At 41.0% G+C, this 22,662-nt stretch overlaps 1 protein-coding gene and 1 pseudogene across 19 annotated transcripts in view, besides 2 other annotated features; both read left to right on the top strand.

Moving 5' to 3' along the window:
* Positions 1-22,444, top strand: part of ZNF841 (zinc finger protein 841) — a 37,276-nt gene extending 14,832 nt beyond the window's left edge. For 8 of the 19 annotated variants that reach the window (NM_001369826.1, NM_001352298.2, XM_047438655.1 and 5 more), the window contains 3 exons: positions 3,850-3,976; positions 4,762-4,890; positions 13,324-16,469. In NM_001369826.1, coding sequence (NP_001356755.1) covers positions 3,850-3,976; positions 4,762-4,890; positions 13,324-15,827 — 2,760 coding nt within the window. In that variant the 3' untranslated portion in view covers positions 15,828-16,469. Of the gene's footprint in view, positions 1-3,849; positions 3,977-4,758; positions 4,891-13,323; positions 16,470-21,587 lie in introns of those variants that run through there. The other 11 variants (XM_047438652.1, XM_017026653.2, XM_047438651.1 and 8 more) reach the window with 4 other exon arrangements.
* Positions 9,605-10,804: an enhancer, noted in NCBI's record as "CDK7 strongly-dependent group 2 enhancer chr19:52573383-52574582 (GRCh37/hg19 assembly coordinates)". NCBI's record gives its function as "activates an origin of replication core promoter dependent on BRD2, BRD4, P300/CBP, MED14 and CDK7 cofactors, with strong dependence on CDK7, by STARR-seq in HCT116 cells {active_cell/tissue: HCT116}" and the evidence as "EXISTENCE:reporter gene assay evidence [ECO:0000049][PMID:35650434]".
* Positions 14,721-15,920: an enhancer, noted in NCBI's record as "CDK7 strongly-dependent group 2 enhancer chr19:52568267-52569466 (GRCh37/hg19 assembly coordinates)". NCBI's record gives its function as "activates an origin of replication core promoter dependent on BRD2, BRD4, P300/CBP, MED14 and CDK7 cofactors, with strong dependence on CDK7, by STARR-seq in HCT116 cells {active_cell/tissue: HCT116}" and the evidence as "EXISTENCE:reporter gene assay evidence [ECO:0000049][PMID:35650434]".
* LOC100419835 (zinc finger protein 160 pseudogene) lies at positions 16,908-17,745 on the top strand (annotated as a pseudogene).
* Positions 22,445-22,662: the final 218 nt, after the last annotated feature.

Here is a 22,662-nt window from a genome sequence, read left to right as displayed (position 1 = left end):
TCTTCTTTTGGCACTTCCCTATTTTAAAAATCATCTACCTCCCCAGTTTTGGGTGGTTGCTTTGTTCAGGGAGGACACTCTGGAGTCAACTCAGCTAGATTGTGGAGACCTTCCACACCTTTTCTGGCTGGGGATTTTGTCCTCTCTGGGCCTTTGCTTGTCATCTCTTCATTGAAAATGTTTGCTAGTTTCTACCCAGAAGCTCCCCTGTTGTCTGTCTTTGATATTGCAGACTTTGGTGCTACAGTAAGCTGTAGTACTAGATATGCACTTAGCGTTTGTCTGTGTTACTGCACACACTGGTTTATGTAAATCATCCTTTTTCTCAGTGGCCCCTAACCTTTCACCTTGTTCTTGTCAGTGCTTATATTCAGGAAGAGAGAAACCAGCCCATCAGTTGGTCATCTGAAAAGTCAGGAAGTTGGACAGATATTCTGCTCCTTTCCATCCCCTAGATGATCTTGGGAGTTGTGGGTTTCTTTTCTGTTACCCCAGTGCATGGCAGGGGCTGGATCTCTGTCAAGTGGATGCTTCAAATTTTCCTTCAGAGCTTCTATACTGTTTGCTTTATGTCAGCCTGAGGTGTAGAAACCTCCTAACTGTTTTCTGGATTTATCCCCGAGGCAATTAGTCCATGAATTGTTGTTAAAATCATTTCACTGTGGTGACTGGAGAGTTTGGGGATTCCTGTTCCTTTATCTTGCCGACATCACTCAGTGTAGTTTTATAATTTGTTCACATAATTCTGAAAATGTATTGTACTTAAGTGCCATGGTATATATGCTAATGAAAATTTAGAAGTGTGTGTGTTGTTTTTAAATTAGTGTTACTAAAGTAGGAAGATTATTTCAGTACATTGTTAGCATTGTTAGCTTGTATACTTAAACATTCTTTTTCTGGGTTGCAATCATGTTATCTCTTTTTTTTTTTTTTTTTTTCCCTGAGATGGAGTTTCGCTCTTGTTGCCCAGGCTGGAGTACAATAGTGCGATCTCAGCTCACCGCAACCTCCGCCTCCCAGGTTCAAGCGATCCTCCTGGCTCAGCCTCCCTAGTAGCTGGGATTACAGGCATGTGCCACCATGCTCGGCTAATTTTGTATTTTTAGTAGAGACGGGATTTCTCCATGTTGGTCAGGCTGGTCTTGAACTCCCAACCTCAGGTGATCCTCCCGCCTTGGCCTCCCAAAGTGCTGGAATTACAGGTATGAGCCACCGTGCCCGGCCACAATCATGTTATCTCTTAATTTTAGTAGATCTAACTCTTTGGCTCTACCCCCTCCTTGCCTTTTTCCCTCCCACCTTTTCTCTTTGCTGCTGCTCAGACATCCAGTGCAGTGGTGAATGACAGGAGGTCTGGCCAACCCCCTTTTCTCTTAATTTAGAGGAAATGAAAAACCCCCTTTTCTCTTACTTAATTTAGAGGAAATGAATCCAGTGTTTCACTTGTTGGGTGAAATATTTTTCCTTAACAGTTTTTGGGTTTTTTTTTTTTTTTTTTTTTTACAGATTTCCTTTGCAACATGATTTTTAAATTTTCTAATAATTTATGCAAGCATATACTGCTGCAATACATATTGTTTCTATCTTAATCTGTTAAATTTTAATGTATTACACTTATAAACCACCTAATCTTGAATCACTGTTTTATTTATTGGTGGAATAAACGAATAAACTCCATTTGGCTTTTGTTAATGCATAAGTAGCTAAATTTAACTGGATAAAATTGCACTTAGATATTTAAATATAGGCATTTAATAGTAATTGTAATAAAAGTTTATATACTTTTAAAATTTTGTACCATTTTCTCCAGCCTAGTATTGAATAAGTACAAAATAAATAAGTAAATGAAGTACTAAGTAAATAAGTAAATGAAGTACTAAGTACAAAGTAAATGAAATACAATTTATACATTTTCATTGTCCCAAGCATGCTAAAACATACATGTCTAAGAATAATGATTTAAAAAGTCATCCAAAAAATATGTCATTGAGAGATAGCGTCTTATTTCAGTTAATTTAAATGTTTGTATGCTTTGGTTTTTATTTACAACATCATCATTTCATAAATCAGCCTATTATCTTTTCACAGTTGAAATTATTTACTTGGTTTTATTTTAATTTTTTTCTTTTCTCTACATAAGATACAGGCTTGGGAACACTATTGAAAATTATATCTTAAATGTTTCTATGGCCTTAAAATGTTTTTTCTTTAAAAACTTTTTTTTTTTTTTTTTCCGAGATGGAGTCTTGCTCTGTCACCCAGGCTGGAGTGCAGTGGTGCGATCTCGGCTCACTGCAAGCCCTGCTTCCCGGGTTCATGCCATTCTCCTGCCTCAGCCTCCCGAGTAGCTGGGATTACAGGCGCCGGCCACCACACCCGGCTAATTTTTTGTATTTTTAGTAGAGACAGGGTTTCACCGTGTTAGCCAGGATGGTCTCGATCTCCTGACCTTGTGATCCGCCCACCTCGGCCTCCCAAAGTGCTGGGATTATAAAAACTTTTTTACATATTTCTTTGTCCCAGTGATTTGCTTAATTTTTAAAATTGCCTTCTATATTATCATGTGAATGGATTAGTTTTATGAATAGTAATGTATTATGTGTGTGCTTCTGTGTGCTTATATGATGATCTTTTTTTTCTTTGTTTTTGAGATGGGGTCTCACTCTGTCTCCAGGCTGGAGTGCAGTGGCATGATCTCGGCCCACTGCAACCTCCACCTCCCAGGTTCAAGTAATTCTGTGTCAGCCTCCCCAGTAGCTGGGACTACAGGTGCACACCACCACGCCCAGCTAATTTTTGTATTTTTAGTAGAGATGGGGTTTCACCATATTGGCCAGGATGATCTCGATCTCTTGACCTCATGATCCACCCATCTTGGCCTCCCAAGGTGCTAAGATGGAGGTGTGAGCCACCACGCCTAGCCTATATAATGATCCTTTATGCGGTTCCAAGTTAATCTTGAACTTGCTTCAAGTTTTCTCAGGCAACCCTCTGTCAGTATACTGTAGCATTCGTCCCCTATGCAGCAACAAGACCATCTTCGAAGCAGGGATTAGCCCTCAGCGACATCAGTCCTGCTGACACCTTGATCTTGGATTCCCCAGCCAGCAGAATCATGAGAAATACATTTCTGTTGTTCATAAGTTAGTTAGTCTCTCTTATTTCGTTATAGCCACACAGAAAGACTAGGACATACTCTGTAATATAACTGTCGGATTCTGTTGATTCAACTCTAATTTTTAGACATCTGGGTTCAGGTGCTTGCTCTGCTGTTTGCAGGTTGTTGACCTAGGTGACTTTCTTAGCCTGTCTGTGACACAGTTGTCTTCTAGTAAGATGGGAAGAAATATTTCTGTCATAGGTGATTATGTCATCATTTGAGTTAGAACACGTAAATCCTTTGAAGTAATGCCCGGTACATGGGGAGTGTTCCAAAACTTTAGTTCTTGCTGTTGCTCTTGTCATCGCTGTTTTTAGTTTCTGACCTTTCTTTAAAGCCACTAAGAACATTGTCATCTCTGAAGACACCACTTGTATTCTAGCTCATCTGGACACCTCACTTGGTGTAACAAATGTAATATCTAAAACTTTCATAGGGATAACCATGTGTTTATTTCTTATTTTGTCCACAAAAGTGAGAAATGTGCACCGATTTAGATAATATCCTAATCTCCTATTGAATTTTATAAAACCCAAAATCAGGGAGACGTAATTATCTCACAGATACTTTTAATGGATATGTCAAAACACACTTCAATCAAATTGATGTGACAGTTCTCTCCTCTTCTCATTTTATGTAAAGATAAGAGCTCACCCACTGCTCATATTGAAATGTGTTTTTCATTTCAGGGATCTTTGACATTCAGGGATGTGGCTGTAGAATTCTCTCAGGAGGAGTGGAAATGCCTGGACCCTGTTCAGAAAGCTTTGTACAGGGACGTGATGTTGGAGAACTACAGGAACCTCGGCTTCCTGGGTGAGGATAGTTTTCCTCCAGAAGTTAGGATCTTCCCTTGTGCATTTTTGTACTTTCCTTATTGTGTTTCTTGTGAGGCCCTACATTATTTGACAGAGACTGAAGCCTTGTTGATTCACAAATAAAAAGCTTCATAATGCTGCATCTGGCCTTTAACTGTCCCATTTCTATGGATATTCTGCTTCCTTCTTTGTACATTAGTGGTGACTCCAGAGCTGAGGTACGTGTAAAACCTTATGGCGGAGTTAATATATCCAATTCCCTGTTCTTCCTGTTTTCTATCCTTGTGCTTTTTTTTTTTTTTTTTGACACAGTCTCAGTCTGTCACCCAGGCTGGAGTGCAGTGGTGTGATCTTGTGATCTTGGCACACTGCAACCTTAGCTTCTTGGGATAAAGCCATCCTCCCACCTTAGCCTTCCAAGTAGCTGGGACTGTGGGTGTGCAACACCATGCCCAGGTAGAGACAGGGTTTCACTCTGTTGCCTAGGCTGATCTTGAACTCCTGTGCTCAAGTCATCTTCCCGTCTTGGCCTCCCAAAGTGCTGAGATTACAGGCTTGAGCCAGTATGCTTGGCCTATCCCTGTGTTTTTGATTCAGTATTTCTTGGGAGAGAGCTAGATATCTTCATCTTACAGTGTTCACTAAGCATTCAGAAGGAGGCAATCAATGGATGAGTTTGTGAAATATTTTGTAGATTCAACTGCAGTGTTTTCTCTTCTACCTAGACATTAGGCTGGGTTCTGGAAAAACCGTGGGACATCTTCTTTCTTTTTTTATAAGCAGGACTCTGTCTTCCTGACCTGAATATTATCTCCATGTTGGAGCAAGGGAAAGAGCCCTGGACTGTGGTGAGCCAAGTGAAAATAGCGAGGAACCCAAACTGTGGGGAATGCATGAAAGGCGTGATCACCGGTAAGAGCTCAGATGGGCACAATGGAAGCGGTACCATGAAATTGTGTGCGTAAGACTCTGCAAGTGGGAGAGTTCTGTGGGGAAACAAATTTGATTTTCTGTGAGCTCCAGAAGTTTTCTTCTTTCCTGCTTATCACTTTGCTTTCCAGACACGTATAACTTTACCTTTCACTCTCCAGGGGTTGCTGCAGCTCAAACAGAGCAAAGTACAAGACTGTTATGATGGACCACAGTGTCATCTGTATTGTGTGAACTCTGATGCTTTGACTCTGTGGCATGGGAAGGGCCTTTTCAAAGAAGTCTCTTTCCCGTGTGGTCTCTCCTCCTGTTCTTGATTCCATCTGATCCTCAGTTCTCTGATCCATATAGATTGGAGCTGAGGGCTCCATAGTCCTGGTGCCTGGAACTTTTCTGGTTCCACCCCATTTCCTATACTTGAAAGTGCTGGTCAGGAGATGAGGAAACATTGGTTGCCCTTCCTTTGAAGCTGGGGTCCTAGAACTGGACTATCTTCAGCCCTCTCTGCCTGTTCAGGTCCCTCAGCCATTTTCTTAGTTCTTCTTTGGACACTCTTCTTGGGTTTGTGACACGGGAATGAGTTGGGTCTCCTGAGATTGTTACATATAAGAATTGTAAAGACAGTTGACACAAAGGTCCTCTCTTTATTCTTAGTCCTACACAGGGAGCGTATCTCTGTCTTCACACTCTTAGTTTGGGATCTGTGGACAGAGCACTGTCTCATTTCAAGATCCCTCACAATCCAATTCCTGTGTTTTTCTCTGTCTTGTTTATGCCTTGGCTCTTTCTGATCTTGCATTCTCTTTTATGTTTGTGTGATTTTTTGCCTCTGAGACTTGCTTTGGATAAATGCATTTCTAGGGTCGGACATTTTATGCTTTTTTCCTGCTGTGATAACCCATCTTGGGGTTATGAATATCTTGTGGACTATTGTATGGAGTGAGTTTACTGGGTAAGAGAAAATTTTTGAAGGAGAGCACTTTGAGTAATGAGTTTTAACATCATCTTGCTACATACAGAGGTAACTATTAAAGCCAGAGTAGAATGATCAGCATTTGTCATGATATTCAGATAGAGACCATCACAAGAGCCTGGTTTCTGAGAAATGTCACAAAAGTATCTTTCAAGGGTACTGTGGCAATGTTGATCTCATATACTAATGGTCCTCTTTTTTGAGCTAGCAGTGAATGGTGTAGGAATTTCTCCCATGCCGGGCACGGTGGCTCAACGCCTGTAATCCCAGCACTTTGGGAGGCTGAGGCGGGTGGATCACCTGAGGTTAGGAGTTCTAGACCAGCCTGGCCAACTTGGTGAAACCCCGTCTCTACTAAAAATACAAAAGTTAGCCGGGCGTGGTGGCAGGCACCTGTAATCCCAGCTACTCGGGGGGCTGAGGCAGGAGAATCTCTCAAATCTGGGAGGCGGAGGTTGTAGTGAGCTGAGATTGCGCCATGCACTCTAGCCTGGGGAACAAGAGCGAGACTTTGTCTCAAAAAAAAAAATTTCTCCCGGGAAGAACATTGTCCAGGTTCACAGCTTCATCTCTGCAGGGCTGTTGCCTGAACCACTGCTCATGCCACACTTTTCTTCCCCAGTATTTTTGTTTATAGTGAGTACGACTTTGATCTTGAGGAAGCTAATGAAGTTGAATGAGGCTTATCTTTTTTAAGTCCACAAAATTCGTTTTAAGCAACCATTGCTTTCATCTGATGCATTTTCATGTATTATAAATGAACTTTGTTTTTATTTATTTAATCAGTTCCATATTTTTGAGGATACTCAGTTTTCTTTGTTTTATGTTTCTATTGTGGTAGTGTTGTGTTGGGGAATGCATATTGTTTTATGTATTTTACAAGATTTCCTTCTTTAGTACAGATGGTATAGCTCAGCAGCAGTTTCCCTAAAACTTACAGAAACTCCATAATGTTGTATTGATAGTATCAGTTATTCCTTTTACTTCTGTTTCACCTGACTTAATTCCTACTATGAAAGTATATATTTGTCGGTTAAATTGATTACAGTTTTTAAGTTGGAAATTTTTAATATCTTGAGCATAATTTTTTAAGTTACTATCTTAATTGTGGAAATACCATTTAATAGATTGATCGTTCTTTGTTATATAACATACATTGCTTTTCTGTAGTAAGTTTCAGTTTCCTAAATATAGCTTGCTGGGTTTTGTTCAAATTGCACTGTTTTTTTCTTTCTTGGAACAAATGCTGTATTATAATAACTATTCTCCTATCTACATTCATGTCCATCATGTTATACTGAATCATTATTTAAAAATCTAACTTTATTTTAAACTTAGCCCATTTCTTACACTTCAGGGACTTCTCTACTATTTATAAAACCTATATATTTTTTTCGTGATGCTCAAGCAATGAAGAATAAATTCTCTTAAAAAACTGGTATTGGGCCAGGAGCAATGGCTCATGCCTGTAATCCCAGCACTTTGGGAGGCTGAGGCAGGCGGATCATTTTGAGGTCTGAGGTCAGGAGTTCGAGACCAGCCTGACCAACATGGTGAATCCCTGTTTCTACTAAAAATACAAAAAAATTAGCCGGGTGTGGTGGCACATGCATGTAATCTCAGCTACTTGGGAGGCTGAGACAAGAGAATTGCTTGAAGCCAGTAGGCAGAGGTTGCATTGAGCTGAGATCACACTGCTGTACTTCAGCCTGGGCGACAGAGCAAGACCCTGTCTCTAAAAAAAAAAAAGAAAAAAAAACAACAACTTGTATTTTGTCCAGAAAAGTTTTTCCTAGATTTTCTTCTAGAATTTTTGTAGCTTGAAGACTTAATGTAAGTCGTTATTCATCTTGAATTAATTTTTGTATATGACAAGAGATAGGAGTCCAGTTTCATTCTTCTATATATGGCTAGCCAGTTTTTCTAGCACCCTTTATTGAATAGAATGTCTTTTCCCAATTTTTTTTTGACTATCAAGGATCAGTTGGTTGTAGGTGTGTGGCTGTATTTCTGGGTTTCCTATTCTGTTCCATTGGATATCTTCTGTTTTAATGTTAGCATTTATATCTGCAGATTTTCTATCTTAGCACTGTTTTTCCTGCATTCACAAGTTTTGGTATGTTCTATTTTCATTTTCCTTTGTTTTGAGATTTTTAAAATTTCCCTTGTGATTTCTAATTTGACATATTGGCTGTTTAAGAGTATGGTCCTTGTTTGTTTGTTTTTGTTTTTTGAGACGGAGTTACGCTCTTGTTGTCCAGGCTGGAGTGCAGTGGTGCAATCTCGGCTCACTGCAACCTCCACTTCCTGGGTTCAAGCGATTCTCCTGCCTCAGCCTCCCGAGTAGCTGGGATTACAGGCATCTGCCACCATGCTTGGCTGAGGGTTTCACTATGTTGGCCAGGCTGGTCTCGAACTCCTGACCTCAGGTGATCCACCTGCCTCAGCCACCCAAATTGCTGGGATTACAGGCGTGAGCCACCACACCGGCCTAAGAGTATGTTGTTTCCACATATTTGTTGATAATCTAATTTTCTTCTGCTGTTGATCTCTAGTTTTATTTTATTATGATGGGATAAGTTATGCTTTACGATTTTAGTCTTTAAAAAGTTTAAAATTTTTTTTCTTTTCCGATATTTCTTTTGAAAAATGTTTCATGTGCAGTTCTGAAAAATTTGTATTGCACTGTTTTTGGGTGATGTGTTATGCATATATAGGTTAGGTTCAACTTGATATATAGTTTAGGTTCTCTAGTTCCTTGTTTTTCTTCTGTCTGATTGTCCTATTTATAAGTAAAAATAGGCCATTGAAGTCTCTTATTATTACTGTGGAACTACTTCTCCCTTTAGTTACGTTAATTTTGCTTCACATATTGAGGATCTCTATATAGGCACATATTGTTATATCCTCCTAGTGAATTAACCTTTTAATCATTATATAATGCCCTTCTTTGTCTCTTGTACCAGTTTTGACATAAAGTCTATTTTGGCTGACATCAGTTTAGCCACCTCTGATGTCTTTCGGTTAACATTTTGAGGGCATATCTTTTTTCATCCCTTCAGTTCAGCCTATGTGTGTCCTTTGAATTAAAATGAGTATTTTCTGGATAGTGTGCAGCTGAAGCCAGTTTTAAAAATTTATTCAGCCAGTCTCTGTCTTTTGACTGTGGAGTATAAACACTTACATTTAATGTAATTACTGATAGAAAAGGACTTATATTGCCATTGTGTTAAGTGCTTTCTATATCTCTTTTAGATTTTTTTGTTCTGTTTGTCTTACTGCCTTCGTTTTTATATAGTTGATTTTTTTTTCCTGAAATAGTTTTATTTCCATTGTGTGTGTCTTCTATACATTCTCTGTGGTTACCGTTGCAATTACAGAAAACACTTTAGATTTATAACATCCTATTTTAAACTAATAACAGCTTAACTTCAATTACATACAGAAATGACTTTTTACAGATCTGCTTCCATGTTGTGTTTTTGATATCCCAGGATACTTTCATCGTATATACTGTGTCTCCATTAACATATATTTAAACCTTGACAAGAGTCTCCTGCTTTCTTTGTTTTCTCAAATCTTTGCCTGTTGTGCTACGGGTCCTCATTCTGCACCCCGTCTCCTTAACGTTCTTGTACTATCAGTAAAGTTTTGTGGTGTCTTTGTGTGTGTACAAAATGAATTCATCCATCTCCTCTTCGTGGCCATTTTCAGGTTTTTTCTTAAGGATTGAATTGTAAGAACAGTCTTTCACATATCTCTTGATATGTAGGGTTGTTGAGCATATACCTGGAAATAGAACTTATGGGACATTCAGTTTGATAAATTTCATAGCAAATATTATAGAGACATAAATCTGTTTTCTTCCCATATCATCACACCGCCTCCTTTTTAATTGTCTTCCCTTGTTGTCCTGCACCCATAGTATAATTCTCATGTTTAAGTATTAGTCAGTACAATACTACCTCTACATTAGTTTCTCTTTTCTTCCAAAGCCAGGATTTTAGCTGTTTCTTGTGCAATTCTATTCCCACAGCTCTTCAAGCACAAACCCTGCTGCTCCATGCTCATTACTCCTTGATCTCCCCTCTTGCCCTTTGTCCTCCTGGGCCTTTCCTAACATATTACTTTGTCCAGATGGACTACCCAGTTACTGACTAGCATATTAATTTTATACTCCCATTATTGCAGAACTCCCTCACCTCCCATGCTACTCTCACTCTGTAAGGGGTGACCCCTACTCATTCACTTGACCACTGTCTGATAACACTGCGTAAATCAATATGTGCAGGGGATGATGACTCAGATACCGTTCGTTATTCATGACGGATGGCTGAATAATGCTTTTGGCAACACAGCATTGCAGGGAGCCAAAGCCTGTGGGACGTGACCAACTCAGCATTCCACTGGAGGCTATATGATCAAACAGCAAACTGTTTATCATGAATGCAGGATGTGGGCAAACTCATGACTGCTCCTGCTGACAGAAGGTTTGCTGGAGGCAATCACTTCCTGGTGCCAGGGTTATCTACTGCCATATCTAGAGCCTGTTGTTTGAGGAATGCAGTCTTGCAAGCCTACTCTGGACTGCGCAGCTGACCCCTTCTTCCACCATCCTTCTCACTATCTCTCTTGCCTAATAAATACGGACGGCTGTGTAAAGCTCAGGGCCCTTGTCCACTACAGGCAAGGTGCCCCTGACCCCTTCTTCCAAATATACTCTTTTGTCTCTTGTCTTTTATTCCCGCATTCGCCCCCTTTGTTCAGTCCTCCTAGGTCCATGTGGGTTACATAGTGGCACCCTGAACAGCGACAGAATCAGGTGCTCTACACAAAATGGCTCTTGAAGTATTTCTACACTCTTGATATTTGGGTTGACCTGTTATCTGCACTGCTTGTTTGGGAAGTTGTTTTTAAAAAACATGTTTGATCTTGCAAACCCAGGTTCTTGTGTCTTACTTTCTTTGTAAATTGGGTATAGATACATAAATCCTGTGGGCATATTTAGTGTGCTTGTTTGTTAAATAGTGATAATTTACCTAAAGACTTTTTAAACAAGTTAATGCTGTTAGCTAGCTTAGAATATTGCATGTTTTATAGTACAGACTCACAAATTTGTTTAATAACGTGTATCAACATTGTTTCATGTTTATAATGAGATAGCATATTGGCTTTACCTTAGTCAGCATGACTAGCTATATCAGATACCATAGATAGGGTGGTTTAAACAGCAGAAATGGACTTTTCACAGATCTGGGTGGTGCAAAGTTCAACATGTCAGAGCCAGCCACTTTGGTTCTTGGTGTGGACTTTTTTCTGGTGTGCCATGGCTGACTCTGTGTTCTCATGTGGCAGAGAGATTGTCATGCAAAAAGCAGAGGCTTTTTCACGTTTCTGCTAATTGCATTCCTGAAGTTCTATGCACCATCCTGACCTAATTGCCTTCCAAAGACCACACTTCCAAATACTATCACATTGAGGATGGGGCCTTAACATAGGAATTTTGGCAGACATAAGTCTTTATATCAGAGCAGTCTACATTGTATCTGTAAGTTTTCATTTTGCAGTTTGGTCCAAACGGTGTTGTCTTTTATCTCAGTTCATGCATTTTCCAAGTACAATCTCTGTATCATATATATTTTGTGGCCAAGGAACTGGATAATAAAGACAGTGAATAGGACTGGGCACGGTGGCTCATGCCTATAATCCCAGCACTTTGGGAGGCAGAGGTGGGCAGATTGTTTGAGCTTAGGAGTTCCAGACCAGCCTGGGCAACATGGCAAAACCTCATCTCTACCAAAACTACAAAAAAATTAACCGGGCATGATGGCATGCATCTGTGGTCCCAGCTCTCAGGAGGCTGAGGTGGGAGGATCGCTTGAGCCTGTGAGTTGGAGGTTGCAGTGAGGTGGGATCATGCCACTGTACTCCAGCCTGGGTGACAGAGTGAGACTCCATCTCAGCCAAAAGCAAAAAAAGACAATGAATACATAGGGACTTGCTCTGTTGTTTGTTACATAGTTGTAGGCATGAAATCATAACTGAGATTTCTGATTTCCTTTCCCAAGTTTTATTCTTTTTTTGAGGCAGTCTCGCTCTGTTGCCCAGGCTGAAGTGCAGTGTCGTGATCTTGGCTGACTGCAACCTCCCCCTTACAGGTTTATGTGATTCTCGTGCTTCAGCCTCCTGAGTAGTTGGGATTACAGGCATGCATCACCACGCTTGGCTAATGTTTTATATTTTTAGTAGAGATGAGGTTTCACCATGTTGGCCTGGCTAGTCTCAAACTCTTGGCCTCAAGTGATCTGCCCACCTTGGCCTCTCAAAATGCTGGGATTATAGGTCTGAGCCACCATACCTGTCTCCATTTTTTTTTTTTTTTTTGAGACTGCTCTGTCGCCCAGGCTGGAGTGCAGTGGCGAAATCTTGGCTCACTGCAACCTCCGCCTCCTGGGTTCCAATGATTCTCCTGTCTCAGGCTCCGGAGTAGCTGGGATTACAGGCACGTGCCACCACACCCGGCTGATTTTTTTTACTTTTAGTACAGACGAGATTTCACCATGTTGGCCAAGCTAGTCTTGAACTCCTGACCTCGTGATCCACCCACCTCGGCCTCCCAAAGTGCTGGGATTACAGGCTTGAGCCACCGTGCCCGGCTGACCTGTCCCCAATTTTTATTCTTTATTATTTTATATATTTACCTTTCTCTCATCCAAGTACTAACCAGTTCTGACACTGCTTAGTTTCTGAGATCAGACAAGATCAGATGCATTCACGGTGGTATGGCCATAGACATATTTACCTTTCTTTTATCTTTAAAAGCCAGTGATCTCAACATATTTTCTAGTTATATACTGCCTCTAGAATATAAATTCTTGCTTATTATTGATGGAGAATTGTTTAGAATTTCATACTATAGATTTGTATTTTGTGGTTGTTCATTATTTACCTGCTGGTTTTATCACAGGCTATTAGAATGTTTTATTAATTAATTTATATTATGATTATTTATTAGTTAATATTTACCATTACAGTATATCTTGCTGTTGCTTGGCATTCATTTGTATGAAATAAATATATGTAACTTTTTTTCTCTCCTATTATGAGGGAGCCATATGTTTACTGCCAATTGGTGTGTCATTTGGGGTCAGCGATTGCAAAATACTTGTTTTGGTGCTCATATATGTTTGCATAACATGAGTCTTTTGGTCGAAGGATGTTTGAAACTAGGCTTTCCTAAAATTGATTTAAATTACATGTAATCACTTTTTCTTTACTATAGAATTCTATTCATTTTGCATTTCTACAAATAGAAGATCATGGTAGAAAAGTTTCACAACTTGCTAGTATAAACATTATGTTTAGCGTAGTGTGTTTTCAGTATAAAATAATATTTACCAATAATAGTTATTTTAAAACCCCATGTTCATTATATTTTGCAGGTATCTCTCCTAAATGTGTGATCAAGGAATTACCACCAATACAGAACAGTAACACAGGAGAAAAATTCCAAGCAGTGATGTTGGAAGGACATGAAAGCTATGACACTGAAAATTTTTACTTCAGGGAAATCCGGAAAAATCTACAGGAAGTTGACTTTCAATGGAAAGATGGTGAAATAAATTATAAAGAAGGGCCGATGACCCATAAAAACAATCTTACTGGTCAAAGAGTTCGACATAGTCAAGGGGACGTAGAAAACAAGCATATGGAAAATCAGCTTATATTAAGGTTTCAGTCCGGTCTGGGTGAATTGCAGAAATTTCAAACTGCAGAGAAAATTTATGGATGTAATCAAATTGAGAGGACAGTTAATAATTGTTTTTTAGCTTCACCACTTCAAAGAATTTTTCCTGGTGTCCAAACCAACATTTCTAGGAAATATGGGAATGATTTTTTGCAACTTTCGTTACCTACACAAGACGAGAAAACACATATTAGGGAAAAACCTTACATAGGTAATGAGTGTGGCAAAGCCTTCAGAGTGTCTTCAAGTCTTATTAATCATCAGATGATACATACTACAGAGAAACCTTACAGATGCAATGAGTCTGGTAAAGCCTTTCATCGGGGCTCACTACTAACAGTACATCAGATAGTCCATACAAGAGGGAAACCATACCAATGTGATGTATGTGGCAGGATCTTCAGACAAAATTCAGATCTTGTAAATCACCGGAGAAGTCACACTGGAGACAAACCCTACATATGTAATGAATGTGGCAAGTCCTTTAGTAAAAGTTCCCACCTTGCAGTTCATCAGAGAATTCATACTGGAGAGAAACCTTACAAATGTAATCGATGTGGGAAGTGCTTTAGTCAAAGTTCCTCTCTTGCAACTCATCAGACAGTTCATACTGGAGACAAACCCTACAAATGTAATGAATGTGGCAAAACCTTTAAACGGAACTCAAGCCTCACTGCACATCATATAATCCATGCAGGAAAGAAACCATATACATGTGATGTATGTGGCAAGGTCTTTTATCAGAATTCACAACTTGTAAGGCACCAGATAATTCATACTGGAGAGACACCTTACAAATGTAATGAATGTGGCAAGGTCTTCTTTCAACGTTCACGTCTTGCAGGGCACCGGAGAATTCATACTGGAGAGAAACCCTACAAATGTAATGAATGTGGCAAGGTCTTCAGTCAACATTCACATCTTGCAGTGCATCAGAGAGTTCATACTGGAGAGAAACCTTACAAATGTAATGAATGTGGCAAAGCCTTTAATTGGGGCTCATTACTAACTGTACATCAGAGAATTCATACCGGAGAGAAACCTTACAAATGTAATGTGTGTGGCAAGGTCTTTAATTACGGTGGATACCTTTCGGTTCATATGAGATGTCATACTGGAGAGAAACCTCTCCATTGTAATAAATGTGGCATGGTCTTCACTTACTATTCATGCCTAGCACGTCATCAAAGAATGCATACCGGAGAGAAACCTTACAAATGTAATGTGTGTGGCAAGGTCTTCATTGACAGTGGAAACCTTTCAATTCATAGGCGAAGTCATACCGGAGAGAAACCTTTCCAGTGTAACGAATGCGGCAAGGTCTTCAGTTACTACTCATGCCTAGCACGTCATCGGAAAATTCATACCGGAGAGAAACCTTATAAATGTAATGATTGTGGCAAAGCCTATACTCAGCGTTCAAGCCTCACTAAACATCTGGTAATTCATACTGGAGAGAACCCTTACCACTGTAATGAATTTGGTGAGGCTTTTATCCAAAGTTCAAAACTTGCAAGATATCACAGAAATCCTACTGGGGAGAAACCACACAAATGTAGTGAATGTGGTAGAACTTTTAGTCATAAAACAAGTCTGGTGTACCATCAGAGAAGACATACTGGAGAGATGCCATACAAATGTATTGAATGTGGGAAAGTCTTTAACTCCACTACAACCCTGGCAAGGCATCGGAGAATTCATACTGGAGAGAAACCTTACAAATGTAATGAATGTGGCAAGGTCTTCCGTTATCGCTCAGGCCTCGCACGTCATTGGAGTATTCATACTGGAGAGAAACCTTACAAATGTAATGAGTGTGGCAAAGCCTTTAGAGTACGTTCAATTCTGCTTAATCATCAGATGATGCATACTGGAGAGAAACCTTATAAATGTAATGAATGTGGTAAAGCTTTTATCGAAAGGTCAAACTTGGTTTACCATCAGAGAAACCATACTGGAGAGAAGCCATACAAATGTATGGAATGTGGCAAGGCGTTTGGGCGGCGGTCTTGCCTCACTAAACACCAACGAATTCATTCTAGTGAAAAACCTTATAAATGTAATGAGTGTGGCAAATCTTACATTAGTCGCTCAGGCCTCACTAAACATCAGATAAAACATGCTGGAGAGAACCTTACAACTAAACTCAATGTGGAAAGGCCGTTAGATGTTGTCCTAACCTCTGGGATCCCCAAATAATTTATACTTACTCATATAGCTTGTATATTTGTCCTTTCCCTTTGAAGTCTCATGTGGAATTGTAGTAATCTCCAGTATTGGAGGTGGAGCCTAGTGGGAGGTGATTGGATGATGGGGGTGGCTTTCTCAAGAAAGTTTTAGTACCATCCCCTTGTTGCTGTCCTTGTGATAGTTCTCATGAGGTCTGGCTCATGCCTGTAATCCCAGCACTTTGGGAGGCTGAGGTGGGCGGATCACTTGAGGTCAGGAGTTCAAGAGCAGCCTGGCCAACATGGTGAAACCCTGTTTCTGCCAAAAATACAAAAATTAGCTGGGCTTCGTGGCGGGTACTGGTAGTACCAGCTACTCGAGAGGCTGAGTCAGGAGAATTGCTTGAACCCTGGAGGCGGAGGTTGCAGTGAGCCGAGATCGCGCCACTGCACTCTAGCCTGGGTGACAGAGTGAGACTCCATCACGCACACGCACGCACGAAAGTGAATGGCACCTCCCTCTTGTTTGTTCTTCTGGCCATGTGACATGCCCTTCACCTCCCACCATCATTTTAACCTTCCTCAGGTTTCCCGAGAGGGTGAACAGACGTCAGCGCCATGTTTCCTATAAAGCCTGCAAAATTGTGAGTCAATTAAACCTCTTTATACATTACCTAGCCTCAGGTATTTCTGTCTAGCCATGCAATTATGGCCTAATATATTTACACATGGAGTGAATATAGCTAAGTTTTTTTTTTTTTTTTTTTTTTTTTTTTTTTTTTTTGGAGACGGAGTCTCGCTCTGTCGCCCAGGCGGGACTGCGGACTGCAGTGGCGCAATCTCGGCTCACTGCAAGCTCTGCTTCCTGGGTTCACGCCATTCTCCTGCCTCAGCCTCCCGAGTAGCTGGGACTACAGGCGCTCGCCACCGCGCCCGGCTAATTTTTTTTGTATTTTTAGTAGAGACGGGGTTTCACCTTGTTAGCCAGGATGGTCTCGATCTCCTGACCTCATGATCCACCCGCCTCGGCCTCCCAAAGTGCTGGGATTACAGGCGTGAGCCACTGCGCCCGGCCAGAATATAGCTAAGTTTTAAGCAAGTGTTCACTAGGCATAAGAATATACATCCTGGAGAGAAATCACAGAAGTGTAGTATATGTGGCAAGAATACTACTTAAAGGTCAAAACTTGTGGATCTATAACTCAAAGTGCAGATATGCTTTACAAATGAAATGAGGGTGGCAGAAGCTTCACCAGAGTTCAGTCACTACTTGAGAGTTTATATTGGAAAGAAATCGTATAAATGTATGTGCTAGAGGCTTCCCCGAGGTGTCTGAACTCACTAGACCTCAGAATATACATCTTTGACAAATGTAATGTGTGTGCTAAGACTTTTTACCCGAACATCCAAATGGAAACATCAGAGTATTCATACTGGAGAACAGTCTTACAAATGTAACGAATGTGGTAAGCCTTTTTAAAAATCAAATGGGCTGGGTATGGTGGCTCACACCTGTAATCCCAGCACTTTGGGAGGCCGAGGTGGGTGGATCATCTGATGTCAGGAGTTTGAGACCGGCCTGGCCAGCATGGTGAAACCCCATCTCTACTAAAAAATACAAAAATTAGCTGGGCAGTGGTGGGCACCTGTAATCCCGCTACTTGGGAGGCTGAGGCAGAAGAATCACTTGAATCCAGGATGTGGAGGTTGCTGTAAGCCGAGATTGCGCCATTGTACTCCAGCCTGGGTGACAAGAGTGAGACTCTGTCTCAAAAAAATAAAAAAATCAAATGTTCATGTTTTTGGAGTTTGAGAGAATTTATACAGGAAAAAAGTCATATCAGTGTGCTTAACATGGAAGGACCTTTAATCAGTAGTGTGTCTTCAGGCTTTACCAAATTATTCATACTGGATAGAAACCTTGCAAATGTAATTAACGTGGTAAAATTTTAAACCATTTCTCAGCCAGATGCGGTGGCTCACGCCTGTAATCCCAGCACTTTGGGAGGCCGAGGCAGGCAGATCACGAGGTCAGGAAATCGAGACCATCCTGGCTAACACGGTGAAACCCCGTCTCTACTAAAAATACAAATAATTAGCCAGGCGTGGTGGCACGTGCCTGCAGTCCCAGCTACTTAGGAGGCTGAGGCATGAGAATTGTTTGAACCCGGGAGGCTGAGCTTGCAGTGAGCCGAGATTGCACCACTGCACTCCAGCCTGGGCGACAGAGCAAGACTCCGTCTCAAAAAAAAAAAAAAAAAAAAAATTTCTCAACAGATTCCATGTTAGGTAAATCATACTATGGATAACTAAGTCTGCTTCTCCATCCAGGATTGACCTGGAATGATACATACGGTAAAATAACCACAAGACAAAATTTGTTAAAACCCCAGGTAATATGTACATCAAAGGATCAAGAGCGTGTGTGGAAATGGCCAATTCAGTATATAAAATAATTGTATTCACTTTGACATTTCTTAAAAAGGCTAGTTGACTATTTGTGACCTTCATCCTAAAGTATGAAGTCTTGCCTTTCCTACACATCTTTCATTGTGGTCTCTGGGAATAAATCAGTAAGGTGAGAGGGCCTGCTTCATTAGGTGTGGTTCCTTCATATCCATGTTTTCTGGAAGATTAAGGTCACTGTACTGTGTGAGTTAAGCAGCATGGAATATGGTGGAGAATGATGTAAATTTACAATGTAAGTCACTGAGCTTGTTGTGTTCAGAGTGTCCTTTGACAAATACAGTGTTGCTTTGGGATATGGGAAACATACGGAGTATGTTTCACTAACCTAAAAATCTGTGCTCCACCTAGATTTGTACATTCTTTTCACTTCTGTCACTTGTTGCTTCACATGTTTTGCAGCTGGTTTTAAGTGCATACAGACAAGATTCTCAAATCATCTTTGTAAATTGACATTATTATCATGTCACCACCCTGTTGCCCAGGCTGGAGTGCAATAGTAATAAGGTCAACTTTTGGAACCCTTCTGCAAATTTCCTAGGATTTTTAGAGTAGCTTCCTAGCTTTTCCTTACATTGCTGTATATCAGTTATAGAGAAGGGGACCTGCAATAGGACTGGCCATTCGGCTCCTGCTGCTTCCCTACGGGGTAGCAAGGCTGGAGGGAGAGTAGAATATGGTGTTCCCCACTGAGTGTTTGGGGGACTTAGTAGGGTCCCCAGTGTTTGCTCCTGGTTTTAGCCTCAGGAGCACTTGGTAAGGGGGCTATAGGGATGGTCGCTCTTCACCCTTAGAGACAAGTGGCTCTTGTAAAAGGGGGTCATCTGGTTTGGCACGGTGGCTCACGCCTGTAATCCCAGCACTTTGGGAGGCCGAGCTGGGCAGATCACCTGAGGTCGGGAGTTCGAGACCAGCCTGACCAACATGGAGAAACCCCGTCTCTACTAAAAATACAAAATTAGATGGGCATGGTGGTGTGTGCCTGTAATCCCAGCCACCTGGGAGGCTGAGGCAGGAGAATTGCTTGAACCTGGGAGGTGGAGGTTGCAGTGAGCGGAGATCAAGCCATTGCACTCCAGCCTGGGCGATGAGAGCAAAACTCTGTCTCAAAAAAGAAAAAGTAAGAGTGGGGGGGATCATCTATAATATCTAATTCTACCTTAGAACTTTCCTTTGGTGGTGGGGGTGGGTTCTGGGAGTTTGACAGATTGCTAGGTTTTGGTATAAGGTCATAAAATCCTGTGCATATGGGATTTCTGACCATTTGCCCTGCCTCTTGCAAAATAGGTCTAATGGCAGGATGGTGTCATAATTAAGGCTACCAAGACTGCCCATTGTTCCAGGCTGGGCAGTTCATAATGGGGGCAGACAATAGTGCAAAAAAAATTTTACATTTTATCTTTAGAGTGTCAGGGTCAAATTGATTTCCATGGTTGAGGATGTAGCCAAGTGTGGAATCAGGTGGAATAGGTGGAGAGTTGCCCATAGTGGTTTGGAAAAGAGAAGAGGACTTTGAAAAGTGGAGGGCTCATTAGGTGACCCAAATTTTACCTGGGGCATCCCCCCTTTAGGGCCCCAACTTAGTCTGTCAGACATCTCTGACCTTAGATGGGTGCTGGCACCACTTTGGAATGGTTCCCTCCATCACTGAGGACCTGACTTAAAGTTTTTCTATCTCACTTAAAACAACCCTTTAACGCTCTCAACTTAGGCAATAATAAATTCCTTTTCATGAATTCCCTCCACCACCATGCACCACACAGACCACATGCCCGGACCCTCTGACTTGTGTAACCTTTTGTGCATAGCTAGGTGGGTTTTCTGTCCTTTGCCAGTTGGGTGGGAGAAGGGAAGAATTTAGCATAAATAAAAGCAGCATAAGTCACCTGAAACCTGTGAGTTTGCCCTGGACGAGCTGCTGCTGCTAACTGCATCACACATAGGGATCAGGGATTATAACTGAAAAGGACAGAAATGAGTCTTTTCCCTTTCTGGGCAGGGCAGCCATCCCTGTTCACTCCTTGGCCTTCAGAGGATACCAGAGAGTGGCCCCAGTCAGTTCCCCTCAATTACCAACGAGCTACTAGGAAACGGCCGCTGAAAGACTGAAAAAGGAGAAAAGGAAAATAACTCAGAAAAAAAAAAAAAGGAATAGGACTCAGAAAAACAAAAACGAGGAAAAGGACTCAGGTTCCTCACCTTAACCAAGCGGTGGCAGTTAGGCACTTCCACACGGAAACCTTCCAGTTTCACCAGAGAATGGCCCTGGCCAGAAACTTGCAAGTGTCTTTGTGCTTAGGTGCTGTCCACTGAGGGTCCTCAGTTGGAAAGGAAAAGATGGAGAGAGGAAGATTTCCCTGTATGTAAAAGGGGAAAGGAGAAAAAGAAATCCCAAACTTTGGGCCTACCTTCTCTCCTGGCTAGCTCACCAGAATATGTTACCAGTAGAGGGTCTTGACTGCAAGTTGTTTAGGTTCTTGGCATTTTGAACAAAGACTTGGAAGAAACACCCAGCAAAGCAATGAAAGAATGCAGCATCAAAAGAATGAAAACAGGAATTTATTGAAAATGAAAGTACACTCCACAGTGTGGGAACAGGCCCAAGCAGTGGCCCAGATACAGAATCTTCTTGGGTCCAAATGACTACTAGAGGTTTCCCGTTGGCTGCTTGGTGCTGACCTAATGTAAATGAAATGGTGGCCTGCAGTCAGTCAACCAATCAGAGGCTGAAGTAAAGTTACAAAAGTCACACTCCTACGCAAATATCTGATTGGTTGCAAAAAGCAACCAATCAGAGGTACTTTTAATTTCCCATCTGCCAGGCAGAAAAGGTAGAGGTTTGCAAAGGGAGTAGTCTCTGGTCCTTTTGTTACTTAGGTGTGGAAAGTTAGGGTTTTCCCATCAATTTAGCTTAAGGACGTTAGCGTGAAACAGCCTTAGGTTTCCTGCCTCCAGACCATGTTCTCCTGCCTCAGGATCACAGGCTCACGCCACCATGCCTGGCTAATTTTTGTATTTTTTGTAGAGATGAGGTTTCGTCATGTTGCCCAGACTGGGAGAAATATATTTTAAGGTATAATTAGCATGTTGTGTTTTAAAAATCCTGTTGATATACTTGCACATTAGTAACAGAGCTTTTGCTTCCACATTGTACAATTTCAGTTCAGTATCTTGTATCATTCTAATTATTTCACTGAACTTAAAATGTAAGGGACCTTCTACATATTGATAGAACACATGCTTTGCATCTGTCATTTCTCTGTGTGTGTGTGTGTGTGTGTATATATATATATATATATATTTTTTTTTTTTTTTTTTTTTTTAGACAGAGTCTCGCTCTGTCGCCCAGGCTGGAGTGCAGCGGCGCGATCTCAGCTCACTTCAAGCTCCACCTCTCGGGTTCTTGCCATTCTCCTGCCTCAGCCTCCCAAGTCGCTGGGACTATAGGCGCCCACCACCACGCCTGGCTAATTTTTTTTGTATTTTTAGTAGAGACAGGGTTTCACCATGTTAGCCAGGATGGTCTCGATCTCTTCGTGCTCTGCCCACCTCGGCCTCCCAAAGTGCTGGGATTACAGGTGTGAGCCACCGCTCCCAGCCTCTCTGTACAAATTTTTTGCCACACAAATCTGAAAATACCACCTTGATTTATGGATCCTCCAAGTTTTTCACTGAAGTACAAGGGAACAAATGTAAATCTATAAATTGGGTTAAATGATTTCTAGGAAAGTGTATAATAATAATAACAATTATTTTTTTGAGACAGAGTCTCTGTCACCCAGGCTGGAGTGAAACTGTGTCTCAAAATAAATAAATAAATAATAAATAAATAAATAATAGAAATGAAGTTTTGCTATAGTTGAGAAATTATAGAATGCCATGCTTATTATGATAACCTCATACAGAAATTTTTACAGCTTTTTGAAAAATGGCTTTTTTGTTATTCAATTTTTATAGTCTTATAAACATTAATTTTCACAAGACTAGTGTAAAAATATTGTAGACAATTTGTCTAAGCAGTATTTCGGAAGCACTTTCAACAGTTATGTAAAGGGTCCTATTTATGCTTGAAGAAAGGACATGTATAAGGTTTTTAGCATGAGGAAATTAAGTCTTTCTCAACCTAGAAGTCAGGAGTTTCAAGAGTAAACATTCAGTGTTGAATTAAAGAATCTGAATCTATTTTTTGATTGATTACTGACATCTTTTAAGCCACACTATTTGGGCAAGTTGATAATAAAGCCTGAGTGCTCCCTTCTTTGGTATATGCTGGAAGTTCAAGACATGCCTGGGTACCTTTACCCTTGCCCTACTCCTTAACCATAGTCACAACACATTTTCCTGCTCTCACAAGCCACTTTTGAACCAGCTTGGGAAGTCTCCTGCTCTTTCCAGAGTCT

This window comes from Homo sapiens, chromosome 19 (assembly GCF_000001405.40).
Source record: "Homo sapiens chromosome 19, GRCh38.p14 Primary Assembly".
NCBI classification, from domain to species: domain Eukaryota; kingdom Metazoa; phylum Chordata; class Mammalia; order Primates; family Hominidae; genus Homo; species Homo sapiens.
This window is presented reverse-complemented; position numbering and strand designations above follow the sequence as displayed.